The sequence below is a fragment of the Homo sapiens genome, chromosome 3, assembly GCF_000001405.40.
Source record: "Homo sapiens chromosome 3, GRCh38.p14 Primary Assembly".
Classification (NCBI taxonomy): domain Eukaryota; kingdom Metazoa; phylum Chordata; class Mammalia; order Primates; family Hominidae; genus Homo; species Homo sapiens.
Window position 1 is genome coordinate 51,469,544 of NC_000003.12, and position 12,819 is coordinate 51,482,362.

At 44.7% G+C, this 12,819-nt stretch overlaps 1 protein-coding gene across 42 annotated transcripts in view; it reads right to left on the reverse strand.

The window, feature by feature from the left end:
- DCAF1 (DDB1 and CUL4 associated factor 1) overlaps positions 1-12,819 on the reverse strand; it is a 109,773-nt gene that overhangs the window by 73,677 nt on the left and 23,277 nt on the right. For all 42 annotated transcript variants that reach the window (XR_007095776.1, NR_146065.2, XR_007095774.1 and 39 more), the window contains one exon: positions 1,386-1,462. Coding sequence is in view for 32 of the 42 variants with exons in the window: in NM_001171904.2 (NP_001165375.1) it covers positions 1,386-1,462 (77 nt within the window). In the remaining 10 variants the exon portion in view is untranslated. The remainder of the gene's footprint in view (positions 1-1,385; positions 1,463-12,819) is intronic.

The following is a 12,819-nucleotide window of genomic DNA, read 5'->3' on the forward strand; positions in this document are numbered from 1 at the left end:
CTCTCCACAAAGGACTGCTTCAGGCTATCAAGCTTATATGTACTATGGGCCCATGCATGACTTCAGCTTTGCCCACTGGTGATCTACCTTATAGTAAACATAAAATGGCAGTCTCAAGTCCCTCATAATTCTGTACCACTGTAGCAAATTCCATACCAAAGCAGGTGCTATCATGGCTTTAATTAGCCCAAAATTGGCCAGGCTCAGTGGCTCACGCCTGTAATCCCAGCACTTTGGGAGGTGGAGGCGGGTGGATCACTTGAGGTCAGGAGTTCAAGACCAGCTTGGCCAACATGGTGAAACCCCTTCTCTATTAAAAGTGCAAAACTTAGCCGACTGTGGTGGTGCATGCTTGTAATCCCAGCTACTTGGGACACTGAGGCACAAAAATTGCTTGAACCCAAGAAGCAGTGGTTGCAGTGAGCCAAGATCGTGCCACTGCACTGCCGGCTGGGCGACAGAGCAAGATGCCATCTCAAAAAAAAATAATAATAATAAATAAGCCCAAAATAAACCAAATTAACACGAGAAGGCATACTTTAGTTCTCAAGACACCAAAGCAGACATAAGCGTCAAGGTTCCAAATATCAACTTCCTAACTAAAAGCAGGACACTGAATGCTTTCTCAACTATATTTCCCCAACAGTAAAAGGATAATTATTTAGAGGATAATTATTATTAGAAAGATGAAGGCACAGAGAAGAACACCTTTTGTTTTTATGGTTTAAAAAAGTTGGTTGGGCACAGTGGCTCATGCCTATAATCCCAGCACTTTGGGAGGCCCAGGCGGGAGGATAGCTTGTGTCCAGGAGTTCGAGACCAACTTGGGCAGCAAAGCAAGACCCCATCTCTACAAAAAAATAAAAACTAAAAATCAGCCAGGCATGATAGCACACGCCTGTAGTCCCAGCTACTCAAGAGGCTGAGGTGGGAGGATCGTTTGAGCCAGGAGATCCAGGCTGCAGTGAGCTATGATCATGCCACTGCACTGCAACCTGGGCAACAGAGTGAGTACCCATCTCCAAAAAAGAAAAAGTCTGAAAGGAAGACAATTTTTCTTTTTAATTCTTTGTCATCATATCAACTGAGTTAACTAAAGTACACCTACTTCTGTTCCTTTAGGTTAGTTATGTGATATTCGATTGGCAAATATCAAAAATATTTCCAATTTTTTCCAGAAATTTATTTTTCCTCACTAGCTCCACCTTGAGCAACATTTTAACAAATAAAAGGTCTTAAAACTTACCACAAAAGACGCTATTTCAATTCAAAAATTTTCCCATAAGCAATTTTTCTTTTTTAGAAAAGAAAAAAAAGACCCTCGCTTTAATAAAAGTGTCTTAAAAGAAAAAAAAAAGACCCACACTTAAGAGCACAAATCTTACCAGGATGTCGATCATCAAATGGGTCTGGATCCCCTTTACGATACTCTTCAGTTTCTTTTTCAATCAATTGAGACATCCTAGCACAAAGGAAACAAGGGGTCAACTCTGGACAAGCATAAAAAAATGGACCACCACTACAACAGTCAATTCAACGGTCAAGGTAGAAAATAAAAGCAAAGTTAGAAAAAGACTATTTCTTCTGATGTACATAGAAATCTACACAATTATCTCATAAAAGAGTTTCCTCTCCCAAACTCATTCTTTTTTTTTTTTTTTTGACAGTCTCGCTCTGTCGCCCAGGCTGGAGTGCAGTGGTGTGATCTTGGCTCACTGCAAGCTCTACCTCCTGGGTTCATGCCATTCTCCTGCCTCAGTATCCCGCACAGCTGGGACTGCAGGCACCCACCACCACGCCCGGCTAACTTTCTGTACTTTTAGTAGAGACGGGGTTTCACCATGCTAGCCAGGATGGTCTCGATCTCCTGACCTCGTGATCCACCCGCCTCAGCCTCCCAAAGTGCTGGGATGACAGACGTGAGCCACCACACCTGGCCCCCAAACTCATTCTTATATAAACTTTCCCTTCTTCAAAAAATAACATTACCTTCACCTCAGAAACCAAAAATGTAGGACTCATCTTTAAAATCTTCCTTTTCTTGCTGGGCATGATGGCTCACGCCTGTAATCCCAGCACTCTGGGAGGCCGAGGCAGGAGGATCACCTGAGGTTGGGAGTTCAAGAACAGCCTGAACAACATGGAGAAACCCCGTCTCTACTAAAAATACAAAATTAGCTGGGCGTGGTGGCACATACCTGTAATCCCAGCTAGTAGGGAGGCTGAGGCAGGAGAATCACTTGAACCTGGGAGGTGGAGGTTGCGGTGAGGCAAGAGATTGCGCCACTGCACTCCAGCCCGGGCAACAAGAGTGAAACTCTGTCTCAAAAAAAAAAACCTTCCTTTTCTCCTCCCTCTCCCACAACAATTTCTGTTAGCTCTACTACAAGGTACTTCCTGACTCACATCACTTCTCTAATTCTTGACCACTCCTATCCTCATCCAGACCACCATCATCAACTACCTGGATTACCTCTAATGGTCTTTTTACCAGTCTCCTTGCTTCCTGCTTCCATGTCTGATCTGATGCAATTCATTCTCCAACTTCCAATGACTTACCACAATACCCTGAATTAAATCCAAGTACTACTATGGCCTGCAATTATCTGGCTTCTGCCTGCTGCTTCCTGACCACTTCTTCCACTCCTCCACCCTCCTGCATTAACCTTCGGTCACTGTTCTTCAAAGAGCCCAATTTCACTCCTGTTTCAGGGTTACAGTGCTATTAACTCAGCTGGTAACATTTTTCCCACCATCTAAGCCTCCACCCCTGCCCCAAGTAACCGTTCATCTGCTTTCTCTCACTACAAGTGAGTTCTGCCTGATCCAGAATTTGTTTTTTTTCTTGTAGAGATGGGGTCTTGCTATGTTGCCCAGGCTGGAGTCTAGTGGCTATTTACAAGCATAAACATAGCACACTACAGCTTCAAACTCTTGGCCTCAAGCAATCCTCCTGCCTCAGCCTCCCAAGTAGCTGGGTCTATAGGCACGCAACACTGTGTCTGGCTTGTTTCAGACTTTCACATAAATTGAACCATATAATCTTTTTACATCTAACTTTCACCTAGCATGCTTTGAGAGTCATCCATGTTGCTGAATGTATGAAAAGTTCTGTTTCATTAATGCATTTTTTTTTTTTTGAGATGGAGTTTCACTCGTTGCCCAGGCTGGAGTGCAATGGTGCTATCTCAGCTCACCACAACCTCCGCCTCCCAGGTTCAAGCGATTCTGCTGCCTCAGCCTCTTGAGTAGCTGGAATTACAGGCATGCACCACCATACCTGGCTAAGTTTTGTATTTTTAGTAGAGATGGGGTTTCTCCATGTTGGTCAGGCTGGTCTCGAACTCCTGACCTCAGGTGATCTGCCCGCCTCAGCCTCCTAAAAGTGCTGGTTATAGGCGTGAGCCACCACGCCCGGTTATTCATGCATTATTTATAAAACAAGAAAAATGGCTGGGCACAGTGGCTCATGCCTGTAATCCCAACACTTTGGGAAGCCAAGGTGGGCCGATCACCTGAGGTCAGGAGTTCGAGACCAGCCTGACCAACATGGAGAAACCCCATCTCTACTAAAAATACAAAATTAACCGGGCACGGTGCCACATGCCTGTAATCCCAGCTACTCAGGAGGCTGAGGCAGGAGAATCGCTTGAACCCAGGAGGCGGAGGTTGTACTCCATTGCACTCCAGCTTGGGAAACAAGAGCAAAACTCTATCTCAAAAAAAAAAAAAACAAGAAAAATTACTATCTGGGTGACCTAAGACTGACACTCTATAATAATGACAAGCCAATACAAGACTATCATACTCTCCATCTAACATGCTCTGTCCTAAATCAAACTCTCCTATGTGCTTATTTCCAGGACACTATACTTTCTAGTCTTTTTTTTTTTTTTTTTTTTTAAGAAACAGGGTCTAGCATGGGCGACAGAATGAGACTCCATCTCAAAAAAAAAAACAAAAAACAAAACACCAAAAACCAGAAAAAAAAAACAGGGTCTCACTCTGTTGCTCAGGCTGGAGTGCAGCAACACGACTCATGGCTCACTGAAGCCTCAACATCCCAGGCTCAAATGATCCTCCCACCTCAGGCTCCTGAATAACTGGGACTACAGGAACACCACCATGCCCGGCTAACTTCAAAAATTTTTTGTAGTTGGGGATTTGCTCCCCAGGCTGACCTCGAACTCCTGGGCTCAAGCCCACCCTGGCCTACCAAAGTCCTGGGATTACAGGCATTGAGCCACCACACCCAGCCTTGCTAGTCTTTTTTTTTTTGAGATGGAGTCTCGCTCTGTCACCCAGGCTGGAGTGCAATGGCACGATGTCGGCTCACTGCAACCTCTGCCTCCCACGTTCAGGCGATTCTCCTGCCTCAGCCTCCTGAGTAGCTGGGATTACAGGCATGTGCCACCACGCCCAGCTCATTTTTGTATTTTTTTTTTTGGTAGAGACAGGGTTTTGCCATGTTAGTCAGGCTATCTCAAACTCCTAACCTCAAGTGATCCACCCGCCTTGGTTTCCCAAAGTGCTGGGATTACAGGTGTGAGCCACCACATCTGGCCCCTTCCAGTCTTAAGAATTAAACTCTCCTGGCCGGCGCCGTGGCTCATGCCTGTAATCCCAGCACTTTGGGAGGCTGAGGCGGGCGGATCACCTGAGGTTGGGAGTTCGAAATCAGCCTGACCAACATGGAGAAACCCCGTCTCTGCTAAAAATACAAAAAATTAGCCGGGCATGGTGGTGCATGCCTGTAATTCCAGCTACTCGGGAGGCTGAGGCAGGAGAATCGCTTGAACTCAGGAGGCGGAGGTCGCGGTGAGCCGAGATCGTGCCATTGCACTCCAGCCTGGCCAACAAGCGCAAAACTCTGTCCCAAAAATATAACTAAATAAATATAAAAGAGTTAAACTCTCTGCAAAAATTACTGGTCCACTCTAATCAAGCTTCATAAGTATTTCTGCTTTTTCTTCCTTTCCCTCTAAACTCTGAAACCTCTCTTTAACACAAAGGGCAATCACACAAAATAATGTATGTGTACTTGTTTTTTTTGTTGGTGATGGTTTTTTTTTTTTTAATGTTTTTTTAAGAGACAGGGTCTCACTGTCTCTCAGGCTGGACTGCAGTGGCGCAGTGGCACAATCGTACCTCACTGCAGCCTCAAACTTCTGAGCTCAAACAATCCTCCTGCGTCAGCTTCCCAAGTAGGTGGGACTACAGGTGTCAATCAGCATGCCTGGCTTTTTTTTTTTTTTTTTTGAGATGGAGTCTCACTCTGTCGCCCAGGCTGGAGTACAGTGGCGCAATCTCAGCTCACTGCAACCTCCGCCTCCCAGGTTCAAGCAGTTCTCCTACCTCAACCTCCTGAGTAGCTGGGGTTACAGGTACATGCCACCATGCCCGGCTAACTTTTGTATTTTTAGTAGAGATGGGGTTTCACCATGTTGGTCAGGCTGGTCTCTAACTCCTGACCTCATGATCCACCTGCCTCGGCTTCCCAAAGTGCTGGGATTACAGGCGTGAGACACTGCACCCAGCCTTATACCTGGCTATTTTTTAAATTTTTTATATAGATAGCATCTTGCTATGTTGCCCAGGCTGGTCTTGAACTCCTGGACTCAAGCAATACTTCCACCTCAGCTTCACAAAATATACTTAGAATTATATATTGTAAAATCTACTAGTATCAAAAAAGAAAAAAAAAAACAAAAAGATCTACTAGTATCCCCAGTTGAAACTAAGAAATATAACAGAGAAGTTAAAAATATGGCCTCTGGGCCAGGCACAGTGGCTCATGCCTATAATCCCAGCACTTTGGGAGGCCAAGGTGGGAAAATCACTAGAGGTAAGGAGTTAGAGACCAGCCTGGACAATATAGTGAAATCCCCCCCATCTCTACTAAAAATTTAAAAACTAGCCAGGCATGGTGGCAACACATCCTGTAGTCCCTGCTACTCAGGAGACTGAGACTGGAAGACGGCTTGAGCCCAGGAATTCAAGGCTGCAGTAAGCTATGATAAAACTGCTGCACTCCAGGGCCCGGCGTGGTGGCTTACGCCCGTAATCCCAGCACTTTGGGAGGCTGAGGTGGGCAGATCATGAGGTCAGGAGATCAAGACCATCCTGGCTAACACGGCGAAAGCCCGTCTCTACTAAACATACAAAAAATTAGCCGGGCACGGTGGCAGGCGCCTGTAGTCCCAGCTACTCAGGAGGCTGAGGCAGGAGAATGGCGTGAACCCAGGAGGCGGAGCTTGCAGTGAGCCGAGATTGCGCCATCGCACTCCAGCCTGGGCGACAGAGCGAGACTATGTCTCATAAAAAAAAAAAAGGTGGCTTTTGGAGCCAGATTTTCAGGGTTCAAATCTGAGCTCTTCCACAGTGTGAGACACTCTCGGTAAGTTATTTAACCTCTCTGTGCCTCAAGATAATAGTCTCTACGTTACAGAGTTTCCCTGGGTTTCAGTTAATTAGAATAAAACCTGACAAGTAAGAGCTCTTTAGGTGTTAATTGTGGGGTTTTTTTCTTCTGTTTAGTCTTCTCATTTTCCAAGAGTAATTGGCATCATAAAAACTGGGAATCGGGCCAGGCGCAGTGGAGCACTTTGGGAGGCTGAGGCAGGTGGGTCACTTGAGGTCAGGAGGTCAAGACCAGCCTGGCCAACAGGGTAAAACCCATCTCTAGTAAAATACGAAAATTAGCCAGGCATGGTGGCGGGCGCCTATAATCCCAGGTACTCAGGAGGCTGAGGCAGGAGACTCACTTCAGCCAGGGAGGCAGAGATTGCAGTGAGCCAAGATCGAGCCACTGCACTCCAGCCTGGGTGCGAGTGAGACTCCATCTCAAAACAAACAAAAAACTGAGAATAAAAAATAGGAAAAACAGTTAATTTAGGGTAGCTATTGACTGGGATGAGGCAGGAGGGTGCAATCTGGTACTCAAGTTCTACTATAACTTGATCTCGATAATGGTCTTACAAAAAAAAAATCCATCTAGCAGAGTACTTTACAGTATATAAATTATATCTCAAAAAAAAAAAAAAAAAAAAAAAGGCCAGGCGTAGTGGCTCACGCCTGTAATCCCAGCACTTTGGGAGGCTGAGGCGGGCAGATCACGAGATCAGAAGATCAAGACCATCCTGGCTAACACGGTGAAACCCTGTCTCTACTAAAAATACAAAAAAATTAGCCAGGTGTGTTGGCGGGTGCCTGTAATCCCAGATACTCAGGAGGCTGAGGCAGAATAGCGTGAACCCGGGAGGCGGAGCTTGCAGTGAGCTGAGATCGCACCACTGCACTCCAGCCTGGGCAACAGAGCAGACTCCGTCTCAAAAAAAAGACCAGCCTGGCCAACGTGGTAAAACCCTGTCTCTATTAAAAAAAACACAAAAAATTAGCCGGGCTTGGTGGTGGGCACCTAATCCCAGCTACTTGGGAGACTGAGGCAGGAGAATTGCTTGCACCTGGGAGGCAGAGGTTGCAGAGCCGAGATCACACCACTGCACTCCAGCCTGAGCGACAGAGTGAGACTCCATCTCAAAACAAAACAAAAAAAAGCCCACTCGCACAGCTTGGACCAAAGCCAGCCCCTTTCAACAGAATCAAGTCAAAGGCTAATAAAAGGATGAATTCAAGTTACAAAATGACATACACTGTTCTTACGAAACTGTCAAAAGATCATAAAAAGGTCAATAAAAGAGCAGACAGGCCTAAAATTCATTTGCTCTTCATGGAATATACTAAAACACCCAAACCTGCAGCCAGATGAGTGAAGAAAAAAAAAAAACAAAAAACCCTAGAACTATTTTAGAAAATATCCAGTAAAGAGACCCACAATTTGGTGAAGGAGGGAAGTTACCCCTGATTAAAATAAAATAAACTGACCAGCCTGGGCAACCTGGCAAAATCCTGTCTCTACAAAAAAAAAAAAAAATACAAAAATTAGTGGAGCATGGTAGCATGCACCCCAGCCACTCAGAGGGCTGAGGTGGGAGGATCACTTGAGTCCAGGAGGTTGAGGCTGCAGTGAGCTATGATCACAACACTGTACTCCAGCCTTGGGGGGAAAAAAAAACAACACCGGAATTGGAGTCAAAACCCAGGATTCTAACCTAAGTTTCCACTGCCTCGCTATGCAGTTTTTTGCAAGTAAATCTGAGAATGTCTATCATTTAATGATGTATCTTTCAGAGATACTGAGTGACAAATAAGGAAGGTGAAGTTCAGATAAGTGCCTCTTACAGTTCTGACACCAAAAAAAGTCCTCAAATATTTGTTGAGTGGAATGAACTGATTCACTCATTTTCTTTCCATTCTGATAACCCCTTTAATATTTACAAACCTTCCCATTCCAGTAGCTTTTATATATATATATACACACACACACAAACCATGCTGCCTGATTTGGAACTTCATCATTATATACTATTTTGTGCTACTATGCATTGTTCCTTATCTGTTAGTTTTTGTTGTTGTTGTTGTTGAGACAGAGTCTCTCTTGCCCAGGCTGGAGTGTAGTGGCACAATCTCAGCTCACTGCAGCCTCGACCTACCTGGCTCAAGCAATCCTCCTACCTCAGCCTCCTGAGTAGCTGAGACTACAGGCACGTGCCACCACGCCTGGCTAATTTTTGTATTTTTTGTAGAGACAACAGTCTCACCATGTTGCCCAGGCTGGTTTTGAGCTCCTGAGCTCAAGCAATTCACCTGCCTCAGCCTCCCAAACTGCTAGGATTACAAGTGTGAGCCACCATGCCAGGCCTCCGTTAGTCTTAGTTGCTTCCCAGGTAGTTATCTCCTTGAGGACAGCCCCCCTCTATTTTAGGCTTTGCATGGCTGAAGAGCATAGCATAGTGAAAAAGTTGAGGATAAAATATGATAATGTAAAATAATGTTGAAAATAAAACATTAAGTACTTTTAGTATAAGTGCTCAAAGAATATTTCTTGAACAAGTGAATGAATCCACATAACCATCCTCATTAATGACTCTCCTCCTTTCACAGCCACATCAATTATACACATGTTAACAGCACAATATTTAAATTCTCTAATTCACTGTGGCTGCATTTCAAGTATCTTGTTTAATAGTTGGTGTTTAATTATTCTTTTTTTGTTTTGTTTTTTTAATTAAGACGGGGTCTTACTATGTTGCCCAAGCTGGTCTTTAACCTGTGGCCTCAAGCGATCCTCCTACCTCAGCCTTCCGAAGTGCTGGGATTAGAGGCATAAACCACTACATCTGGCCTAACTTTCTTAATCTCCAATGCCTCTACCAGTTAAAATCCAGTTTCTGCCAGTCAGCAATAATCCTGTTCCTTAAAAAAAACTGGTATTTTCACATGTTCCCCATGTATTAAAAGCAATTAGGAACAATACATTTATCCCCATTTAAACTTTCATAATATTATAGTTCTTTCTCCATAAAAAGAGATCACTGCACAAACAAAAAGATTTTTTTAACAGTTATGATACTGAAGAGGAGACGTTAAGGATCCCCACATTCCAGTGACCTTCTCCTTAGAAAACCCATGAGCACCCCTCCCCAGCCTTTACTTTTCACTTTTTCTCCATCTTGACACATTTATTAAATAAAATTATATACCATACAGTTATTATGAACCAGGCAGTGGACAAATCATCATTTGAGGAGACACCAATAAAAAGACATAGTCGTAGGCCAGGCATGGTGGCTCACGCCTATAATCTCAGCACTTCTGGGAGGCCGAGGCAGGTGGATTGCCTGAGTCCAGGTGTTCAAGACCAGCCTGGGCAACATAGCGAAAACCTATCTCTACTAAAAATACAAAAAATTAGCCAGGCAGGGTGGTGTGTGCCTGTAGTCCCAGCTACTCCAGAAGCTGAGGTGGGAGAATCAACTAAGCCCAGGAAGTTGAGGTTGCAGTGACCCGAGATCACGCCACTACACTCCAGCCTCGGCAACAGAGGGAAATCCTGTCTATTATAGCTGGGCACGGTGGCTCACGCCTGTAATCTCAGCACTTTGGGAGGCCGAGGTGGGCAGATCATGAGGGCAGGAGATCGAGACCATCCTAGCTAACACGGTGAAACCTGAAACCTCATCTCTACTAAAAAATATAAAAAATTAGCCCAGTGTGGTGGCGGGCACCTGTAGTCCCAGCTGCTCAGGAAGCTGAGGCAGGAGAATGGTGTGAATCTGGGAGGCAGAGCTTGCAGTAAGCCAAGATCGCGCCACTGCACTCCAGCCCAGGCAACAGAGCGAGACTCCGTCTCAAAAAATAAAATAAAATAAAATAAAATTATAGTACAATGTGGTATAATGGGGGAAAATTAAAATACATACATATGAATGACAGGAGTATTAAAACAAAGTGGTGGCCAGTATGGTGGTTCACACCTGTAATCCCAGCACTTTGGGAGACCAACGTAGAAGGAACATTTGCAGTGAGGAGTCTGAAAACAGCCTGAGCAACATAATGAAACCCTGTCTCCACCAAAAAAATTAAAAAATAAAAATTTAGCAGTGAGCTATAATCATACCACTGCACTCTATCCTGGGTAACACAGTGAGACCCTGTCACTAAAAAAAAAAAAAAAAAAAAATTTTTTTTAATGATGGGGAGCCCAAACCTACCTATGAAAGTCAAAGTCAGTGAAGGTTTTACAGACATGATTCTTGAACTACTTCTTCTAAGGACTAGGCCTGCCATGCAGACATGCCAAGGAAAGGCATTTCAGGCCAAAGAAATACCAAGTGTAAAGGCACAAAGACATTAAAAAATACGTTAATCCAGCCGGGCAGGGTGGCTCATGCTTGTAATCCCAGCACTTTGGGAGGCTGAGGTGGGCGGATCATGAGGTCAGGAGTTCGAGACCAGCCTGGCCAACACAGTGAAACCCCATCTCTACTAAAAATTCAAAAATAAGCTGGGCGTGCGTGGTGGTGGGCGCCTGTAATCCCAGCTACTCGGGAGGCTGAGGCAGGAGAATTGCTTGAAGCCAGGAGGCGGAGGTTGCAGTGAGCCAAGATTGTGCCACTGCACTCCAGCCTGGGCGACAGAGCTAGAGTCTGCCTCAAAAAAAAAAAAAAAAAAAAAGTTAATACTTACAGAAAGAGACTAATACTATGAGGGAGAAAAAAGAGGCCATCCTCCTTTTTCTCATCCTGTGGGGCTACTTATGATGTGATGCCATTTACAGTGGGCTGGGATTACAGGTGTGAGGCACCAAACCCAGCACCCCTTGATTTGTTTTAATACTCCTATCATTCATGTGTATGTATTTTAATTTTCTGCCATTATACCACACTATACTAGAACCGTTTTTTTTACACGTGTTTCCTCACTAAATTGTAAAATTCTTGAAAGCACATACTATGTCTTTTTATTGGTGTCTCCTCAAATGATGATCTACCCACTGCCTGGTACTTAATAACTGTGTGGTACATAATTTTATTGAAAAAATCTGTTAAGGTAGAAAGAGTGAAAAGTAAAGGCTGGGTAGAGGTGCTCATGGGTTTTCTAAGGAGAAGGTCACTGGAACGTGGGAATCCTCAACATCCCATCCCCAATATCATAGCTGTGAAAACAACTTTTTATGCATTGATTTCTTACTTTTTACAGCGAAAGAACTACAATATTATGAAAGTAAGCCACATCATAAATGGCCACATAGGCCACACTAAAAACTTTACATTTTACTCTGTAGGAAAAAGGAAGTCGGAGAAGAATGTAGGTATGAATGAAGGTAGGAAAATCCTATTTGTGTATGAGAAAAAGGAATCTTTCAGCAAGGGGGAGGATGTATTAAAAGAGGGTAAACTGGAGGGTAAACTTATAAGGCACACTGCTTAATGGGCCAGTCAAGACATGAGCAATACCTAATGCAGGCCAGGCGCAATGGCTCACTCCTGTAATCCCAGCACTTTGGGAGGCCGAGGTGGGTGGATCACCTGAGGTCAGGAGTTCAAGACCAGCCTGGCCAACATGGCAAAACCCTATCTCTACTAAAAAAAACAGAAAAATTAGCCGAGCATGGTGGCTTATGCCTGTAATCCCAGCTACTCCAGAGGCTCAGGCAGGAGAATCACTTGAACCTAGGAGGTGGGGGTTGCAGTGAGCCAAGATCGCACCACTGCCTGGGGCAGAGAGCAAGACTCCGTCTCAAAAAAAATGAAAGGTAAAATATGCCGGGCACAGTGGCTCACGCCTGTAATCCCAGCACTTTGAGAGGCCGAGGCAGTCAGGTCACTTGAGGTCAGGAGTTCGAGAACAGCCTGGCCAACATGGCAAAACCCCACCTCTACTAAAAATACAAAAATTAGCCAGCGTCGTGGCGGGCACCTGTAATCCCAGCTACTCAGGAGGCTGAGGCAGGGAGAATTGCTTGAACCTGGCAGGTGGAGGTTGTGGTGAGCCAAGATCATGCCAATGCACTCCAGCCTAGGCAACAGAGTGAGACTCCATCCCCCCAAAAAATAAAAACAAAAAAAGTTTTTCAGTTTAAAACCATTCAGTTTAAAACCAAGGTAGGGAATAAAAAAAGCATTAAGTTATGAATAAATGAGGAGACACACAGAAATGAGGATGATAAGCTCAATTTTGGACATGGTCTGTTTCAGGTATCTGTAGAAGAGCCAAGTAGGCCAGCACTGTGGCTTCGCCTGTAATCCCAGCACTTTGGGAGGCCGAGACAGGAGGATTGCTTGAGCCCAGATGTTCAAGACCAGACTGGGTAACACAGGGAGACCCTCCCTCTACAAAAAATTTAAAAATTAGTCAGGTGTGGTGGTGCACACCTGTGGTCTCATCTAGTAGGGAGGCTGAGGTAAGAAGATGGCT